At 36.2% G+C, this 22066-nt stretch overlaps 1 protein-coding gene across 47 annotated transcripts in view; it reads right to left on the reverse strand.

Moving 5' to 3' along the window:
- ATP8B4 (ATPase phospholipid transporting 8B4 (putative)) overlaps window positions 1-22066 on the reverse strand; it is a 323617-nt gene that overhangs the window by 68489 nt on the left and 233062 nt on the right. For 39 of the 47 annotated variants that reach the window (NR_073597.2, NR_073598.2, XR_002957687.2 and 36 more), the window contains 2 exons: window positions 7291-7456; window positions 4393-4581 (listed from right to left, as the gene is read on the reverse strand). Coding sequence is in view for 43 of the 47 variants with exons in the window: in XM_011522056.4 (XP_011520358.3) it covers window positions 4393-4581; window positions 7291-7456 (355 nt within the window). In the remaining 4 variants the exon portion in view is untranslated. The remainder of the gene's footprint in view (window positions 1-4392; window positions 4582-7290; window positions 7457-22066) is intronic. The other 8 variants (NR_073596.2, XM_047433096.1, XM_047433094.1 and 5 more) reach the window with 1 other exon arrangement.

Genomic DNA, 22066 nt, shown 5'->3' on the forward strand with positions numbered 1-22066 from the left:
GAACCAAAATTGTGCACAATTTATTGAAAGCAGAAGCTATGCCTTTGTGACATAAAGGAAAGAAAAAATGTCACAAATGGCTTCCAGTTAGATGCAACAGCAGCACTGTGAAGGGTGGTAAATAATTCTATTTTGCCATATCGCCGCTGTTCATACATCTACACAGAGAAATGCCTGTCACATGACAGTGTGATTTGTACTTTGATAATCTTGAAAAAGTTTAGAGTTGAGCAACTTTTATCTAAAGATCTCGTAAGAGCCTTCCAAGAAGCTTCTTGTAATTTCTTCTTCTTTAATGGTTATCTGCCACTTGCCCCTGTTAATAGCCACCTCTGAATTTTATCTCTGTATTTCTATTTACAGAATTAGTAGAATTGGTCCTTCCAAAACTATATAATGTCATTTATATTTTTTACTAATATAGTATATTCTGTTCCCTCTGGAAAAAAATCCTTTATAGAAATCAATTTTTATGTAGATACTTCTGACTTAAATCAGGGCTCTTTCTTCAGAATGAAAGTACTACTGGTATTGAAATTATACATTGATGATTTAGTGAATAATGGCTGCCACCCAAAAACAAGGAAGCAGAAGAGGGAGGAGGAGAAAGGGGAGGATCAGCAGCAACAGAAGCAATGCCTGAGCCTTTGCATCAGGGTGTTGTTCCTACAGACCAACCCATGTGACGATCATGAGACCAGGATTGTTTTCTGCCTTGTTATCATGCAAAGACTTTTCTGCCCTGGTAGAGTCCCTCTAAAAATCCTCCTGATTAAAAACCAAGCAGAATAAAAATAAATCCAGCAAACCTTCATGCATTCTGTGGTAGAGCACTACCTTTCCTCATATGGGATCCATTAAGGCAAACATCTGATGTTTGTGGTTAGGCTGCAATTTCTCCACAGCCTGTAATGGTGACCAATGCTGAGGAAAAGCCAAACATCTCCCTGTGTAGCAATTTTAGGTTTTTGTCAACACCCTCAGAGCAAAAAGAAACCAACTCTGGGCCAAACCAACATCAATAACACCTTCCCTGAGGCTGTAAATAGAAGATAGCTCCTGCTGATACAACATTAAGCCAACACCTAGAACGGCATGTGTGCTCATCAGTGGCACTGGTGATGACTTCCCTGTTGTCAAAACATAAAAATAAAAATAAACATTCTCAGATGTTATTTGGTTTTTACCTGCTGAGAGCCATCTTTCAAGGCTAGTTTCTAGTAGTTAGAGACCAAAAACCCTACTGTTACGTATAAACACTTTTTAAATAGTAAGAAATTGATTAAATACCATGAGTAGGATATTCATAATTTACAAAGTGCTGGGTTGAGTAGTATTTCATAAACATTTATAGAAAACTTATCATGTGCCAAGCTCTGTGCTTTGCCTTGGGCAGTTTAGGAAGACTAAGGTACAGCACTTGCCTGAGGTAGCACACAGTTTAATGACTAGGATAGTTGTGAGTGTCATGGAATTAATACCACACTGGTGTTATGAACAAGGCATTCTGGGGAACACAGAAGAATGTGGTTATTTGGAGAATAGAAAAAGAATTGAAAAATGGGTAACATTTGAATTGGACATTACCAGATGAGTAGTAGGGAACATTTCCAAGAAGAGAAGTGGGGGAAAGGAGTATTCAAGACAGGAGAACAGCATGTCCAAAGGGTATAACAGCAACAATGCATCCAGGGATGGTGAGGTCTAGTTGAGCTCAAAGTTTTGGAAAGTAGAAGAAAAGTAGATTGAGATCAGATTGCAAATAATTTTGCACGTCATACTAATGACTTTTTCTTTTAAGGTTTGGGAAGCCACCTATGCTTTTTAAGTAGGGGGTAGTAAAATCAGGCCTATGTTTTAGAAAGAATATCCTGGTGACAGCATAGAGGATTATTTTAAAAGCGAATAATTTTGAAGATATTACAATAATACAAGCAAGCAGTGACAAGAAACTTAACTAAGGCAGGGTACTGGGAATTAGGAAAAAAGGACAAAAAGCTTTCATGATTAAAAAGGGGTTTATGAGGCCATTTTAATAAATATTATTCTGATGCCTCTGAGGAGAGACTTACAAACAGGGTGACAATAGAATATTCTAGAGATGTTAAGGCCTGAGACTGGAAGAGAAGGAGATGGATTAGAGAAATGTCTCAAACATCTCTGGGGAAAATAATGGATAGTATTTGAGGATCTATTAGTCTAGAGAAGTGGTCCCCAAACTGTGATTCCCTGACCAGTGGCATCAGCATCACCCACAAGCTTGTTAGAAATGCAAATTGGTGGGCCCCACCTCAGACCAGCTAAATAAGACTAGAGGCTGAGGCCCAGCAATCTGTATTGTAACAAGCCCTCCTGGTGACGCTGATGGGAGGTAAAGTTTGAGAACCATCAGCCAAGGGGCACAAAAGCTATGGAAAAAAGTGAGTGAGCTATAATAGGCCTTAAAAGACCAGATTTTGGAAAACCTGGGTTCACATATCTGATCTGCCTCTTACCCAACTGCGCCACAAGTTGTGTTACAGCTGTGTGACAATCTTTGGCAAGTTACTTAAAATCTTTGCATTTAGTCTCCTCTTGTCTTAAATGGGACATGCATGTTACATGCAGTTGCAACGATTCAATAAAAGAATTCATTATAAAGTTCATGGACAAGCATACAATGAGAGAGGTAACTGTGAATTTTAATACAGATTATAGAAAGAACTATAGTTGTGAGAAAGAAAGTTCCATATTTGACATAAAACTTTAGGTAACAATCCAGTGACAGGACATAACGGAAGCTGAAAATGTGTGTTTGGACTCTAGAAAGAGATCGAAGCTAAACAGCTGTATAAGAAGGTCACAGAATATAAGCAATAGCTACCACCATGTATGTGGTCAAGATCATCCAAGAAGAACACAGGAGCTAAAAAGAGAAAAGGACATCAATATTGAAGAATGGGATGAAGGAGAATAGTCAGCAAAGGAGCTTGAGAAAGAAAACAATGGGACAAGAAGAGAAACAGGAGCCAGAAAGTTTACAGAGACCAAAACAGGAGTGTCAAGAAAACAGGGCCAACAGTCTCAAATACTACTAAGTTTAAAAAAATAGATAGATGAACAGATTAATAAGGAAAAGCCATTGGACTGGGAAGTTACAAGGTTAATGGAAACCTCTGAGAAAGCATTTCTTCTTGAGTAGAGGAAGAAGAAACTTAACCCTAATGGGATGAAAAGAGTAAGAAAGGCAAGAAGCAAAAACTGACCTGAGAAACTAATCTGGGATGGAAAGCAGAAAAATATAGTGGCAAAGTCAGTGGACACCAGCATATGAAGAATATTTTTAAGGAAACAGGAGGATAATATAGTTGTGGGCTGAAGGAAGGAGCCAGTAATTGAGAAATTGAAGGCAAAAGCAAGAAGTGAGCAAGCAAGGAGGGATAAGGAATGGGACTGGAAAAACCTTCAGCTTTGAAAAGGAAAAAGAGCAATTGTTTTCTGATGCAGGAGAGTAAATTATTAAAGATACAGCTTAGGGATGAAGAGGGAGGATGGGGAAAAGACTTAATGGTGTGCATTCCTGAGGGCCTTTATTTTCTTAGAGAAATAGGAGATGAATTTAGCTTTCAAGAGTAAAGAAGATTGTAGCAGTGTTGAGAACTTGAGGAAACAGCCAAGGTTTAGAATATCTATTGTGAAAATGGAAAAAGGCACTAAATATGAATGAGAGTGACATTGACACAGCACTAAGAGTTAGCATTGAGTCAGGAAAGCACAGATTTGTTGTGGTGCTAAATATAATATTAGGTGGTCCTCTCCAGCAATGGAGGTGGACAGAGAAAATGAATGATAATGAGGAGGCTGAGGACGATGTTCACAACAACTGTCATGTGCCAAGCAATTTAGAAACTCATCCGGAGCCAGTACTGTATAGTGAACAAGTGAATGGGCTATGCAGTCACACTTCCTAGGTCTGAATCCCAGCTATTCTACTTCAAACTATGCGAACCTGGGCAAGTTACTCAACCTTTCTGTGTCTTAGTTTCATTATCTGTTAATGGGTATAAATATAATAGTTCCTACCTTATTAGGATTGTTGGGACAATTGAATAAATTAATTCATGGAGAGCATTTTTGTGGTTTATTTTTAAAATTTTTTTATATTTTTATTGATACATTGTACATACTCATATAAGGCATTTAGAACAGTGCTGGGCACATAATGAGCACTTGATAAATGTTAGTTATATATCACTGCAGTATTGAGGCTAGGTTGAGCAACACAAGAGTTTATACATAAAGTTTCAAAACTATCACAACCCTCAGCACATAGCCAAAAGTGAAATTAATCCTTGAAAAGCATAACCACAACAGTATGAAAAGATCAAAAATAGTCTTAGCTACCAACCATACCTATGACAGACATCCTTTTTCTGGTGTTGTTGAAATCCAAAAAGGCAAGTAATTGATAAGTAACTAGTGTTCCCAATTCTTCTATTGTTATGGTCTCTGGGGTCCGGGATTTAAAAATGAACCCAAAATTTCTAGCGGCAGTCACTAGAGCCCCTTCATCAGGTGACTGAACTTGGTAAATCAGCTCTCCTAAAAGGTAAAGAAACAAGTGTATCAATACTGACTAACAGCTAACATTCATAGAGTTCCAATGCCAACTCCAACTCAGTATTTAACACCCAACTCAAGCATCAGGTCTAAAAATCTTTCCTGTCCTCAGATCTTTTCTACTCACCAACAGCTCAATCTGGTATCTGTCCTCTGGGATACCATAGGACTCTATGCATATCACTGCTATAGCCCTTGTCATCTTATAGGAAAACATCCATTTCTGAGTCTGCCTCTTCACTGTGCTCAGTTTCTTAGGTTAGAGATCAAACCTTTGTATTTTCTGTGACTAGAGATGTGCCATGAATGTTTTGTAAACTAAAACATTTTAATATATATTAACCCAAATAATCCTCAGGGCAGCCTTTGAGGTAGAGATTATTAAAATTATTATTTCCATTTTATACTGGTGGAACCTATGACTGAAAGAGGTTACATGAGTTTGATGAGATCACACAGCTAAAGAGTGATGGAGAGATACTCCAAATTCTACTTCAGTCTGCCACTAATGACCATTTTATGAGAATGCATACAAGAAATCCCTTGAAATGTAAGAAATCAAACCAGGATATTAATACTTGTTACCTGATATTATGTGTAGTTGGAGTGGGGGTAAGAGGGGAGAGGAGACAAAAAGAATAAAATAAGTTATATGTATATATACATATAGAGAGAGAGAGTTTATAAAACAGCATATATAAAGTAAGCCCTTATATAAAATTATATTATATTTATATGTAAAAATTAATTTGAAAATTAATTAATGTTTAAAGACTATTAATTAGGCATAGCTAGACCCATATTTCCTGATTTATAGTCATGTCCAAGATAATTGTTAAGTAAACAAGTTGCATATTAATGGCTATACTATGAGTTCTTTTTGTTAAAAAGAAACAAATCACCTAAATATCTAGAAATATTCTTGAATATATGTATATATTTATGAGCCAGAGGAAAGGGTGAAATGATAAACACTAGATGTTACCAGTGGTTACCTCTGTAGGGGTGAGACTGGAGTTCAGGGAAGCTACCATTAGCTTCATCTTTATAAATTTTTGTATTGTATTGTTCCACTTAATACAATAGACATGAATGAATTTTTGAAATTCACAAAAGGAAAAAACTTAAAGCAATTACTTGATCTACCCACGAAATAACATAAGTTCTACTTCTGGTAACATGGTGGAATGGGTGTCAGGACCAATCTCAACTGCTACAAACAACTATAAAAGCATTTTAATATTCTTAAATACATTCATGAACTTGCAAGAAAGTAAGAACTGTTCAGGTCAGAGACTGAGAAAAAGAACACTTAAGGGATTAAAGAAGCACATTAGCCAGCATTTGCCTTGAGGGTGTTTTCTGAACCAGGAGAACTTGATCATTGGTTTTCAATGTCTCTGGGCTTTAATTTAAAAAGCCATAGCCCAGTACCTGTCTAAGGTGAGAGTCCAGTGAAAGATGGCCTCTCAAAACTGGGTCCCCCAAAGACTACTCTCAATATAAGGGTAAACTGGACACCCATGCCCCCTTGAAGAGGGCTTGGAATAAAACTTGCCTAAATAGAACCCTCCTTATAATTGGAAGGGAAAAAAATATCTGCCAAGAATTTATAACCAATCACTGACTCTCATGTAAACTTGCATTCTGAATTCACAATATCTAGGTGGCCTGAAAGAAATCAAGTTGAAACTTTAGTTTAAAATGTTTCTACATTAGAACATTGAAGCAAATGTAAATCCTTTCTGGAGGAACCAACTGGACCCAAAAAATTTATATAAATTAAGTTCAAAGTAAAATGGTCAGCTCACAGTGAAAAGTATACAACAACAACAAGTAAAACCTAAGAACCAACAGAAACAATGCAGAATAAGATCTGAAAAAAAAATTAGATATTGGAAGTATCAGAAACAGCACATGCAATATATTTAACAGATTTCAAGAAATAAAATTGAGATATAAAATTAAACAGATTTGAGAAAGAACCAAAGACCTTGTAGGAAGAATTAGTGGGCTGAGGAAAACATATAAATGGAATAGATTAGGTTCAACTAGGGCAAGAAGCCAGTTCACTATACCATTATCTACCTGTCTCACAGCTTCAAAATGTTAAGTGGCCCAAGCGGTTTTGTTCTATCCTATGAACCCTGAGTTCCAAACAACCATCTCACAAGTGTGAGGACCTTCTCATAATGGAGCCTAAATAAGACTATTCTAATATCAAGGTCAATTTATCTCTGTTACTGGGAAAATTCATTCTAAGCATATGTCTGAAGGTCATCTGCATCTATTAGATATGCATACTAATAATGAGAGATGTGTGACTCAACTGTATTTCAGTATTTGTCCTGGCTACCCAGAAGCTTACAGTCAAATGTGGTGCTCAATTGTAAGAACGATGTCATCCCTTGACTAGCATATTTGGGTCCTCACTTTTCCATTGTCCTTGTTTCTTTTCTTTTTCACTTAAATCTCTCCACATTTTTTCAAAACATATGGGATATAAACTATGTTCTATCTTTAACTTGAAAATCCTTCAAATTTAACATCAGTTTCTGTGTTAAAAAACAAAAACAAAAAACAAGGCTCACTGCTCAAATGCTTAATTTGTAAATCCTTCAAATTTAGTGTCAGTTTCAATTTTAAAAAACAAAAACAAGGTTCACCACTCAGACATAACTTTTCACTTACCTGCGCTATTCTCTTCTGACATTACAGTGTGGCAGAGAGCAAGTAACCTAAGGAATTCATGAACTTTGGGATCACCCATTTTAATGGATTCCATCAGATGGTGGTCAAAGAACTGAAATTCTCTATCCGCTTGAGATTTGACTGAGAAATCCACAGGCTCTTTTTCCTGTAGGAGAACAACAACAACAAAAATAACCAAAACCTCATTCCAATAATTATCTTTTAAAATTCAAAAATAGTTCCCCCAAGTATTTTTAGTGTATTATTTTGCAGCCTCAAATGTCTGGCACTAAAATGGCTGTTTCATCATTACTGTTAAATATAATCTTCTCATTTCAGAACCATGTACCAAAGAAGTGAACTTTCCAAAAGTATATGGGAAAGAAAAATCACAAAACTATATGGGATGGCTGTACAGATCCTCAAATGCTCAATACAACTTCAAAATACAAAAAACCACAGAAAATGCAAAGTTTTTTCAAAACCTACTTTACGGCAAAACCTGATCTGACTTGAACCCATTTGTGCAGCAATATCTGACCTGGAATGTTATGTATTTAATGATGGCTTCTTAAAGCCTACCTAATACTTGTGAATTAATATTTTCTAATATAAAAACATTAATGTGTTTGATTACAGGTACTTTCTCAGATGTCACTGGAGTTATTGCACAATAAAATGGCAGACAACACCATATTGTCTTTCTACAACCAGAAAATCCTAAATTTCTAAATATATCTGGCTCCAAAGTTTTCGATAAGGAACTGTGAGCCTGTATCTATTTCAGGAGCAAGCCTACAGAAGGTTCCACTCTGAACACTTACATATAAGAGCTTTATCAGCTGCAGAGTCCACATTTCCTCCCCCAGGATTATTGCTAAAGTTTTTATTCTTAAAGACTCCATTAACTTTTGCAATTGATTCTAAAGTTACAAGAGCAGATAGGATTGTAACTACTCTTTTAAAGAGAAACTGCATTAACTTTTGCAATTGATTCTAAAGTTACAAAAGCAGATAGGATTATAACTACTTTTTTAAAGAGAAACAATGCTGTGGGCAATTGCAATTATCTATTCTGTGTCACAAAGCTTGTTAATACCTACAGTAAAATTGGAGCCACATGTAGGTCCTTTGTTCCTTTAAATCAAATTTATTCTAAAATTAATAATACTGAATAAAATAAGAAATATTTATTATTATCTTTATAATAGGCCCGACTTTATGCTAACAGTTTTATATGGAATATTACGTATAATCTTCCGAACAATGATGTGTAGTGGATACTACTATTATCCCCGTTTTACAGATGAGAACCTGAGCATTGCCAAGGCCAACCATATACATCCATCAGCCAGGACTCAAACTTAGCCAAAAATCCATGCTTCAAATACTTTGCCATAACAACTCCTTAATATAATTCTGGATTATTTCCCTGCCCCCTTACTAATATAATAACGGCTGCCATATATCAAGTGTTTACAGTATACTAGTTTCTTTTTTAAGTACTTTTAATGTTTTCAATCAAAGCAATACATGCAAAGAGTTACAAAATCAAATACTACATTAAGGCATATCTAGTAAAGCAAGAGACTCTTCATGCCCCCACCTCCATCACCACAGCCCCAGTCCCACTCCCCAGAGAAAATTACTCTCAAACTTCAGAAGGTACATCAAACGGTTATCCCAAAAACTGTAAATTATGTACATATATTACCATTTCTGGATTTATAAATATTAGACCTTTTCCAAAATCAGACGAAGATTTAAGTCATTTACTTTACTTCTCCACTTTCTTTTTCCAAAAATATAGGCATATCCAGTTTAATTTCCTTAATGATTATTTCTGCAACTCTAAGTAACATACAGAAGGCTGTTTTGTTTTGTTTCAGTTCATCAATTATAAACACTCCCTAACTGGTAAGATGACGTTATTACCCACTCCTCATCTCCTCTTCACTTCTCCCTCCAACCTATTTATTTTTTTTTCTATTTCACTATAGAGGTTTAAAACATTTGTGTTCTTTCCTGTAGCCAAACTTAAATACTTTTTATTGGTCTAAAGATTGATTCTAAAAGTTGAAAATGAATAAAAGATATGTACATAAGTCTGTCTTTGAACTATGGTTCACAGCAGAGGAAAATGTGCACTTTGTTATATGGGCCTTCGTGGTGTCACCCACTCAAGGCTGATTGTTTGTCAGGTCTGCTGCTCAGCTGCATCCTGGGATTACTCTCTTGGGCTGGAGTCACTGTTTCCTCACCCCATGCCACCCCCTTTCTTAATTGATTCTCTTGCTTTGTTGTAGCATATCTTAAACATATTTCATAAGAAAAAGATCATGGGAGGCAAAAGTTATGAGGCTTTCTGCTTGAAAATGTCTTTATCCTGCCTCACACTTGTCTCATGGTTTGACACAATATCGAATTTTAGGTTGAGAGCCATTTGAAGGGATCACTCCACTGTCCTCTGGCATCTTGTGTTGCTGATGGTAAATCTGATGTTAGTCTGACTTTCATCTTTTGGTAAGTGCCCCACTTCTCTCCTTTAAAAGCTTTAAGTTCCTCTCTTTATCCTTTCTGGTTTGTAATTTTAGAGGTATTGATCTTATTTCATTCATTGTTTCTGAGTATTCAGGAGACTCTTTCAATTGGAAGATTTGGGGAAGTTCTCTTCTGATATTTCTTTATAATTTTCTCCTCTTCATTATTTTTTGGTTGTTTGTTTGTTTGTTTTTCCATTCTTTCATCTAGAAAACAGTCTTAGTTAAATTTTGGATCTGCCAGTTGACCCTTTATTTTGTCTTTATTCTCTGATGTTCTGAGTCTTTCTTTTCATTCTACTTTCTGGGAGAGTCTCTTGACTTAATCTTCCAGCCCTTCTATTGAATGTTTTGGTTTGTCAAGATTTTTTTTTTTAATTTCCAGGAACTCTTTTCTTTTTTTCCTGTGTTCTCTCCAGAGCATCTTGTTCTTGTTTCATGGATGTTATAACTTCCCAAATCTCTGTGCTGATGTTCGAGTTTTCCAATTTATAGTTTATAACTGTTGGTGGGTTCTGTTCTATTTTCTTAATTATCTTAGGTCATATTTTTTACTGCATTTTGGTTTTTATCTCTCACATTTATCACAGAAATGTTCCTAATGTACAGTGACTTGTTACTGCTCAGGCATCTTTAACACCAAGACTGAGCGAACTCTACAAAGGCAGGACTTATTGGCTATCACGTTTCACTTTAGGGTGAATGAGAGAGAAGGTGGTCCTTGTGATTTCAAGCCCCTAAGATCAAGGATGTAGCAGACTTTTCACTAGGGCACAAAAACCCTCATTAGCTGCCCCAATTCTACCCAGAAAATATGTGCTATGTTTATACTGAAGACCTCTTTTTGCAGGGAGGAATTCAATAGACCTTCACATATTCAATTAAGCCTCACAGGGCCAGGACTAGGTAAGACAAGAGACAGGTATAGTTCACAATATTTAAGGAGGCAAACTCCGTGTTTTCATTTGTGCATTCAGAAAACATGTATTGAGTGCCCAGTACGTACCAAGCACTTTTCTAGGTGATAGGGATTCAGAAATGAACAAAACAAAAATCTCTAGCCTCATGGATCTTAGACTATCTATGGTTTGACATTTTTCAGCCAACTATTAAGATATTTGAAACACAAAATATGAGTACTTTAACTCTTATGAAAAGACAAAAATATTAAAAAGAATATTTTAATAGTAATTCCAGTACTGAACACACATATTGTCCAGAATTTCAGGATATATCAGCCATTCATTGATTAATACACAATACAGTATGCTTTGAAATAGGCAGTGAACATTTATTCATCAAATATTTATCATGCACCTACTGTGGGCCAGGCAATGTTTTGAGTGCTGGGGATAGAATGGTAAACCAAATGCTATTCCTGCCCTCAATGAAATCCAGTCTATTTTGGGACACTGAAAAACAGGCCATATATGGTAAGTGCCATGATAAGGCAAGCACGTTGGACCCGGGGGAAGGAAGAGAGGTGTCAGGAAATATTCCCAAACAAGTAACATCTAAGCCAAAGCTGAAGAGATGAGCAGGAGTTACCCAGATAGAAAGGTAGGCAAATATTGTTTCAAGCCAAGGGTATAATTTGCAAAGGCCTATGTGAGAAAGTGAGTGTGGCAATTAAGTACATAGTTTACAGGCCGTGTAGAACTACCACACAATAGAAACTATAAAGCAACCAGCTGACAGTTTCATGGTAGGGTCAAAACTGCCCATATCAATATTAACTTTGAATGCAAATGGTCTACATGCCCCACTTAAAAGGCACACAGAGGCAAACTGGATAAAACAAGAGACCCATCTCACATGTAGCAACACCCACAGGCTCAAAGCAAAAAGTTGGAGAAAGTTCTGTCACACAAATGGAAAACAGAAAAGACCAAGGATCACTATTCTTCTAACAGATGAAACACACTGTAAACCAATAACAGTAAAAAAACAAAGAAGGGCATTACCTAATGATAAGGGATATAACTCAACCAGAAGACTTACCTATCCAAATTATATATGCAGTCAATATTGGAACACCCATATTCATAAAACAAGTACTTCTAGACCTACAAAAAGACTTAGAGAGCCACACAATAATAGAGGGAGACTCCAACACCCCACTGACAGCTTTAGACAGATCATCAAGGCAGAAAACTAGCAAAGAAATTCTGGACTTGAATTCAATACTTGACCAATTGGACCTAATAGACATCTACATAATACTCTACCCATCAACCACAGAATATACATACTTCTCTTCTGCACGTGACACATACTCCAAGATCAACCACATACTCAGCCATAAAGCAAATCTCAACAAAGTCAAAAAAATCAAAATTATATGAATCATATTCTCAGACCAAAGTAGGACAAAAATAGAAATCAATACCAAGAAGATCTCAGAAAACCACACAATTACATGTAAATTAAACACTCCTGAATGACTTTTGGGTAAAGTATGAAATTAAGGCAGAAGTCAAAAATTATTTGAAATAAATGAAAACAGAGACACAACATATCAAAATCTCTGGGATGAGGCAAAAGCAGTAATAAGGGGAAAGTTTATAATGCTAAACAATTTCCTTAAAAAGTTAGAAAGATCTCAATTAATGACTTAACGCATACCTACAAAAAAAAGAACAAGAAAAAATTAACCCCAAAGCTAGCAGAACAAACTAACACCAAAGCTAACAAATGTCACAGCAGAACTGAATGCAATTGAGACCCAAAAGTCTATACAATCAATAAAACCAAAAGTTGGTTTTTTTGAAAGAATAAACAAGATTGATAGACCACTAGCAAGATTAACAAAGAAAAAAAAGAGAAAAGATCCAAAAAACATAATAAAAAACACAAATGTGACATTATAATCAATCTCACAGAAACACAAAAGATCCTCAGAGGCTATTATGAATACCTCTATGCACACAAACTGGAAAACCTAGAGGAAGTGGATAAATTCCTGGAAACACACAATATCCCAAGATTGAAACAAGAAGAAATTGAAACCTTGAACAGACCAATATTGAGTTCTGAAATTGAATTAGTAATTTAAAAACCCACAAACCAAAAATACGTTCAGACCAGATGGATTCACAGCCAAATTCTACCAGATGTATACAGAAAAGCTGGTACCAATTCTATTGAAACTACTACAAAAAATTGAGCAGGATGGACTCTTCTCTAACTCATTCTACAAAGCCAGCATTCCCTGATAGAAAATATGCCAAAGACACAATGATAAAAGAAAACTACAGGCCAATATCAGAGAAATTCAAATCAAAACCACAATGAGATACCATCTCACACCAGTCAGAATGGCATTAGAAAGCCAAAAACAACAGATGCTGGTGAGGATGTGGAGTAAAGGGAATGCTTATACACTGTTGGTGGGAGTGTAAATTAGTTCAGCCACTGTGGAAAGCAGTCTGGAGATTTCTCAAATAATCTAAAACAGAACTACCATTTAAGCCAACAGCCCATTACTGGGTATCTACCCAAAAGAAAATAAATTGTTCTGCCGAAAATACACATGCACTTGTATGTTCATCATGGTATTATTCACAATAGCAAAGACATGGAATCAACCCAGGTGCCATCAACAATGGACTGGATAAAGAAAATGTGGTACATACACACCATGGAATACTATACAGCCATAAAAAAGAATGAAATCATGCCCTTTGTAGCCACATGGATGCAGCTGGAGGCCATTACCTTAAGCAAACTAATGTAAGAGCACAAAATCAAACACTATATGTTCTCATTTATAAGTGGGAGCTAAACATTGGGTACACATAGTCATAAAGGTGCAACAATAGACACCAGGGACTGCTACAGCAGGGAGGTAGGGAGTGGGGTAAGGGTTGAAGAACTACCTATTCAGTACTATGTTCACTCCCTGGGTGATGGAATCAATCATACCTCAAATCTCCGCATCATGCAATATACCCATGTAACAAACCTGCACAAGTATCCCTTGAATCTAAATTGAAGTTGAAATTATAAAAAAAATTTTAATCAACAAACAAAATAGACAAAGAAAAATGAGGGTGGTTTATTTGGAAAGACTCTAAGGAGTACCATATGGCTGAAGTATCTGGTTCATGTGGCCGAAAATGAATCTGGAAAGAGAATAAGGGGCTAGGTCCTCAATGACTTAGTCTACAAAAGGCCAAACTCTTCTAGACAATTACTAAGGCTTCTTTCCTCACTTCTGGATGATTTGCCTATTGCACTCTAAAAGTATCTGAAATCAAAAAAGGAGGAATTTTCAGGCAGAGCACCAATTGGTCAATAACATTTAGATTTTTGACTTGTTCATCACAGCATAAAAACAGAGTCCCTCCTTGTCTTGCTAGAATTCACCCTCGAGAGACATAGAGAGAAAGACAGAGAGAGCAAGACAGAGAATGAGAAAGAGAAAGCAAACTATATTTTTAGGGAAATTAATAGAACCCAAGCCACACCTTTTTGAATTAGGTGTGATTGCAACCAAACTGGGAAAAGAAAGAATTATGGTGGGGGATAGGGAGTAGACATTTATAGGGGAGGGGTAATAAAGGGAGAAGAGTCAAGATAATACAAAGAGAGCACTCACAGTGGTTAAAATCTCACAGGAAAAAAAGCCCACTAACACACAATGCTTAGAGGGAAGGAACATAACCTTTATTTACTATAATAGTAAAGGGTGTGAATCAACTGTCAAGAGGAGGTTCCTGGACTTGGTTTGATCCCAGAGACAAAGAAGGCAAAACTAAACAAGGAATTCCAGAGACAATAAAAATTTCCAGGAAACATGCTGACTCTGGGTTAGCAGAGAGAAAAAGTTTGACCTATTGCCATAGGCTGGTGCAAGGTAACACCTAATCACATTTAATACAAAATCCTGAACCAGAACAAAGAAATCACCCTTACCCTTATTCCAAAATGAACCTTCTGCAATTAACTGATCAAAGAAAAATTCAGTTCCTACAATAATGAATAATTTAAAAAAAACCTTTATTGAAAAGGGAAGGCTTGTACACTGCTGGTAGGAATATAAATTAGTACACCCTCTATGGAAAACAATATGGATATTTCTCCAAGAAATGAAAGTAGATCTACCATTGAATCCAGCAAACCCACTACTAGGTATCTACCCAAAGGAAAATAAGTCATCATATAAAAAGACACCTGCACACATATTTTTATCAAAGCACAATGCACAATTGCAAAGATACAAAACCAATTTAAAACGGGCATCAACTGATGAGTAAATAAAGAAAATGTGGTATATATACACCGTGGAATACTACTCAGCCATAAAAAAAGAATAAAATGTTTTTTTGCAGCAACTTGGATGAGGTTGGAGCCCACTCTTCCAAGTGAAATAACTAAGAAATGGAAAACCAAATACCATATGTCCTCACTTATAAGTGGAAGCTAAGCTATGGGTATGCAAAGGTATATAGAGTGGTGTAACAGACATTGCAGATTCAGAAGTGAGGAGGGTGGGAAGAGGGTAAGCGATAAAAATCTACATATGAGATACAATGCACACTACTCAGGTGATGAGTGCACTGTAATCTCAGACTTCACGACTGCAATTCATCCATGTAACCAAAAACCACTTGTACCCCAAATGCTATTGAAATAAAACTATATTAAAAATAAAATAAAAAGAAACCTCTATAGGAATCATACAATGATACTACAAAAAAAAGTAATGTACAGAAAAAAATAATAAAAGATGAAGTACATTCACTAGTAATAAAGCAGAAGAAAACTGTGACCAAACATTTCCTCCTTAATTTAAAAAAGGAAAATTGGATGAAGCCAACAATCTATAAAGCAATAACACAAGACAGAAACTTGGGGAGGAGGTATTTAGAAAATCAGCAGAAAATAAAATAACATGGCAGTCTTCAAAAAAGAAGAAAAAAATAGGGCTACTGCAGAAACTAAAGTGAAATTGGAGAGAGCACTGGGGTAAAAAAGAAACTACAGAAAACACAGTAGTCCCATATCTCCCCACATCCTAGTGATTTAAAGAGGAATAGAAGTAAGAAAAGTCATTTAAAAAAAAAGTCATTAAAAAAACATGGTGAAACCCGGTCTCTACTAAAAAATACAAAAAATTAGCTGGACGAGGTGGCAGGTGCCTGTAGTCCCAGCTACTCGGGAGGCTGAGGCAGGAGAATGGCATGAACCTGGGAGGCAGAGCTTGCAGTGAGCCGAGATCGCGCCACTGCACTCCAGCCTGGGTGACAGAGCAAGACTCCATCTCAAAAAAATAAAAAATAAAATAAAAAGAAATGAACAAAATAAAATTCCAGAAATTAGTCTAAAGAAACAGAGGTATATGAATTACCTGGCAAATAATTCAAAATAGCTGTTGTAAAGATGCTCTACAAGCTCAAGAAAATGACGCATAAGCAAAATTAACAAAATTTTTTTTTTATCTTTACAAATATCAACAAAAAGACTTTAAAAAAATTTTTAAAAACAAATTTTGGAGCTGAAGAATACAATAAATGAATTGAAAAATTCACTACAAGGGTTCAACAGCAGACTTGATCAAACAGGAAAAAAAATTCACCAAACAAAGACAAGTCATTTGTAATTATCCAGTTAAGGGGAAAAAAGAGAAAAAGAATGAAAAAGGTGAAAAAATCTTTATGGACTCATAGGCCACCATTAAACAGAACAGCTTATGCATTATGAGAGTTTGAGGACAAGAGAGATGGAAAGGACCAGAAAGCTTATTTAAATAAATAATGCCTGATAACTTCCCAACTCTAGAGAAGGAAATGGAGATCCATTTTCAAGAAGCCCAAAGATCACCAAATTAAATGAAACAAACAAACAAAAAAAAAACCACACTAAAATATAATCAAATTGTCAAAAGTCAAAGAGAATTTTAAAAACAGGAAGAGAAAAGCAACTCATCATGTACAAGGGAACCTCCACAAGATCATCAGTAGATTTTCCAGCAGAAACCTTGCAGTCCAGGAGGGAGTGGGACAATATTTTCAAAGGACTGAAAAAAACATCTGCCAACAAAGAATAACAGACCCAGCTAAACTCTCCTTCAAAAACGAAAGAGAGATAAAGACTTTCTCAGAGAGAAACTCTTAGGGAGTGAATCACCACTAGACCTGCCTTACAAGAAATGCCAAAGGGAGTCTTTCAGATTGAAATGAAAGGATGCAAAACAGCAACATGATAGCGTGAAAAAATATGAAAGTCATTGGTAAAGGTAAATATATGGATGAATACAGAATACTGTATTACTGTAATGGTGGTAGTTAAATCACTTTTCATTCAAATATAAAAGCTGACAGACCAAACTATTTAAAATAACTGTAACCACAATAGCTTAAAGGTACATAAAATGAACAGATGCAAATTGTGACATTTAAAAGTATAGCATTTTTGTATGTGATTTAACTTGTTATCAACTTAAACTATCATAACTATAAGACATCTTATGTAATCTCCAAGGCAAACAGAAAAAGTACCTATAGAACTTACATAAAAGAAAAACAGAAAGGAATCAAAGCATCTTAATACGAAAGACTGACAAAACACAAAGGAAGACAGCAAGAGACAAAAAGACAAAAGAACTACTATATAACAGAAAATGAGTAACAAAATGGTAATAGTAAATCCTTTCCTGTAACAATTACTTTAAATGTGAATGGATTAAGTTCACCAATTAAAAGATATAAAGTGATTAAATGGATTTTTAAAAAATCATCACCCAACTATATGCTGCCTGCAAGAAACTCACTTGAGATTTAAGGACACACATAGTCTAAAAGTGAAGGGATGGAAAAAAATATTCCATGAAAATGGCAAACAAAAGAGAGAAGAGGTGGTCATATTTAAAAGAGACACAGCAGACTTTAAGTCAAAAACCATTACAAGAGACAAATATGGACATTTCATAAAAGGGTCAATCCACCAGGATGATGTAGCAATTATAAGTCTACATGCCCCCAACATCAGATCATCGAAATATATGAAGCAACCATTGACAGAACTGAAGGGAGACTTAGACAGCATTACAATAATAGTAAGAGGTGTCAATATTTCACTTTCAACACTAGATAGGAAATCCAGACAGATCAATAAGGAAACAGAGGACTTGAACAACCCTATAGACCAAATGGACCCAACATATATACAACAAAACATTCTGCCCAACAACAGCAGAATGCACATTCTGTGTCAAGGTAGCACAGACTATTGCCAAGAATAGATCACATGTTAGAGCACAAAAGAAATCTCAACAAATTTAAGATTAAGATTATGTCAAATATATTTTCTGACCACAATGTGATGAAACTAGAAATCAATAGCAAAAGGAAAAGTGGAATCCTCACCAAAATGTGGAAATTAAATAGTATTCTTGAATAGCCACTGGCTCAAAAAAGAAATTTGAAAATATTTCAAGACAAATGAAAGTGAAATACAACATGCCAAACCTCATGGCATATAGCAAAAGCAGTACTAAGGAGGAAGTTCATAGCAATAAATGCATATAATTAAAAGAAGAACGATCTCAGACAATTTAATTTTATACCTCAAAGAGCTAGAGTCATGTAACAAAAAGCTAAAATAAATAAAACCATGAGGGAAAGAAAAAACATGATGACAGAAATTAAGAGAATCTTAAGAGACTTACGAAAAGTTATAGACCAACAAAGTGGAAACACTAGAAAAACAGACAAACTCCTAGAAACATAAAACCTACCAAAACTAAATCATGAAAAATAGAAAGTCTAAGCATACCCATAGCTAGTATAGAGAGTGAATCAGTAATCTGAAACCTCCTGACAAAGAAAAGCCCAAGACCAGATGGTTTCACTGGTGAATTCTACCAAACATGTAGAGTATAATTAATGCCAATCCTACTCAAACTCTTCCAAAAAAATTGATCAAGAGGGAACACTTCCAAACTCATTTTGAAGGCCAGTATTATTCTGACAACAAAACCAGACAAAGACAACACAAGAAAAGTATATATAAGCTGATTACCCCAATTAACATGCAAAAATCCCCAACAAAAGACTAGTAAATTGAATCACATTAAAAGGATCATATGCTACAACAAAGTGGGATTTATTCCTGGGATTGAAGGATGATTCAACATACAAAAATCAATATGAAACACCACATTAACAGAACAAAGAATAAAATCACATGATCATCTCAAAATATGCAGAAAAAGCATTTGACAAAATTAAACATCCATTCATGATTTAAAAAGAAACTCTCAACAAAAAAGAAACAGCAGAAAAATACCTTATCATAATAAAGTCCATATATGAAAAACCCACAGATAACATCATACTCAATGTCAAAAAACTGAAAGCTTTTTCTGTAAAATCAAGAACATGGCAGGGATGCCCATTCTCATCACTTCTACTAGATGTAATACTAGTAGTCCTAGCCAGTGCAGTTAGACAAGAAAAAGAAAGAAAAGGCACATCAATTGGAAAGGAAGAAATAAAAATGTCCCTATGTGAAGATGATGCTATCTTACATATCCTAGGTGCACCATTTTTTAAAAATATTAAAATAAATGAATTCTGTAAAGTTACAAGACAAAAAATTTTAAAAAGTAAAGTTGCAGTACAAAAATCAGTTACATTTCTATATAGTAACAACAAGCAACCCCCAAAAATGAAGAAAACGATCTCATCTAAAGTAACATCAAAAAGAATACAACACTAAGGAATAACATTAACGAAGGAGATGAAAGACTTGTAGTAAATTCTTATGATTATATGTTGCCTTTGCATTCATTTTGAATATAATTCAACTTTCTCAGTCCAGAAGCAGGGCTCAGTCATCCTTAACACACTTCCCAGTTCTATACCACACACAAACGGACTAAGCCAGTAGCCACAGATTAGAACTTAGAAGCATCTTCTCTTGCCTAGCAGACTGGGTTCCCCAATTTCCTGTTGCTTCCTTTAAACAGATCATTCAAGCATTTTCCTGTGAGCTTAAAGTGACCCAAACTCTATTTCCTTACATATCCTGCTAATTAATCCTTTTTTTTTTTTTAAATCTCTCTGCCTGACTCTTCCTTCCTGTTTCTTGCAACCCAGGGATGAAGGACTGCCCTCCTAACTTATTATACCCTCCTTGCCCAGGATCTCTAAGTAAAAATATTTGAACTTATTTCTTATCATGGTGGTGTATTGAATTTACATCTTCCATCTGAAGAAGCAGGGGCTGCCCCAGACTGGGTTGTTCCTGGAACACTGGGAAGAACACAAGGCCTAGCTCCCAGCACCGGGACAATGGTCAGCCAGGCATAAACTGAACACTGGTCAGACAAGAGCCACAGGAGTGTCTGCCAATATAAACAAGTTTCCCATGTGAAGGACTCCTTGGCAAATGATCAGACAACTAAGCATTAGGTCACCTGCCAGGTAAAAGAAATATCCCCTGAAAGGCACACTGTAAACATCTATGTCCAGCTCTCCTTCATTTCTATCACGGTAGGGTTGTTGCTAGCTGCTCTGGCGCTGGAGCCCCAGTTTGAGCTGGGGGCTCTCAAAACCCTTGCACACTGAAAATTAGAAAACATTGATGAGGCCGGGTGCGGTGGCTCATGCTTGTAATCCCAGCATTTTGAGAAGCCAAGGTAGGCGGATCACGAAGTCAGGAGATTGAGACCATCCTGGCCAACATGGTGAAACCCTGTCTCTACTAAAATACAAAACATTAGCCGGGCGTGGTGACACGTGCCTGTAGTCCCAGCTACTTGGGAGGCTGAGGCAGAGCAATCACTTGAACCTGGGAGGCAGAGGTTGCAAGTGAGCTGAGATCTCACCACTGCACTCCAGCCTGGCGACTGGCGACAGAGTGAGACTCTGTCTCAAAAAAAAAAAAAAAAAAGAAAACATTGATGAAAGCAATTAAAGACACAAATAAATGAATATGTATCCAATGGTCATGGAGTAGAAGACTTAATATTGTTAAAATCTCCATATTGCCCAAAGTGAACCATAGAAATCCCCATCAAAATTTCAATGGTATTTTTTTACAGAAGTATAAAAAAAATTCTAAAATTGATATGGAACCACAAATGACCCCAGATAGCCAAAACTATCTTGAGGAAGAAGGACCAAGCTGGGGTCCTCACAATTCCTGATTTCAAACATGTTACAAGCTACAGTCATCAAAGCAGTGGGGTACTGGTATCCCCAGTAAAGACAGACACAGACCAGTGGAATAGAATAGAGAACACAGAAATAAACCCACACATAAACAGATGAATGAATTTCAACAAGGGTTCCAAGACTATACAGCAGGGAAAGGATAGTCTTTTCAACAGAGTGAGGAAAACTAGATATGCACAGGCAAAAGAAAAAAATGGACCATTATCTTACATCTAACACAAAAATCAAATTAAAATACATTGAAAATTGAAACATAATCCCTGCAACTATAAAACTCCTAGAAGAAAATATGGAAGAAAAGCTTCATAACAATGGTCTCGACAATGACTTCTTGCATAGACATGACAACAAAAGCACAGACAATGAAAGCAAAAACAAATAAGTGGAACTATATCAAATGTAAAAGTCTCTGCTCAGGACTGGGCGCAATGGCTTATGCCTGTAATCCCAGCACTTTGGGAGGTCGAGGCGGCAGATCAGGAGGTCAGGAGTTCGAGACCAGCCTGGCCAGCATGGTGAAACCCTGTCTCTACTAAAAATACAAAAAAAAAAAAAAAAAATCAGCCAGGCATGGTGGCACTCGCCTGTAGTCCCAGCTACTTGGGAGGCTGAGGCAGGAGAATTGTTTGAACCTGGCAGATGGAGGTTGCAGTGAGCCAAGATTGTGCCACTGCACTCCAGCCTGGGTGACAGAGTGAGACTCTGTCTCAAAAAAAAGACTGCTCAGCAAAGGAAATAATCAACAGAGTGAAAAGGCAACTTATGGAATAGGAGGAAATATGTGCAGATCATATATCTGATAAGGGGTTACTAGCCTGTTGAGCTTTTTTTCATATGTTTGTTAGCCATGTAAATGTCTTCTTTTGAGAAGTGTCTGTTCATATACTTTGCCGACTTTTTGATGGAGTTGTCTTTTTCTTGCAAATATGTTTACGTTCCTTGTAAATTATGGATATTAGACCTTTGTCAGATGGGTAGATTGCAAAATTTTTCTCCCATTCTGTAGGTAGCCTGTTCACTCTGATGATAGTTTCTTTTGCTGTGCAGAAGCTC

This window comes from Homo sapiens, chromosome 15 (assembly GCF_000001405.40).
Source record: "Homo sapiens chromosome 15, GRCh38.p14 Primary Assembly".
Lineage (NCBI taxonomy): Eukaryota > Metazoa > Chordata > Mammalia > Primates > Hominidae > Homo > Homo sapiens.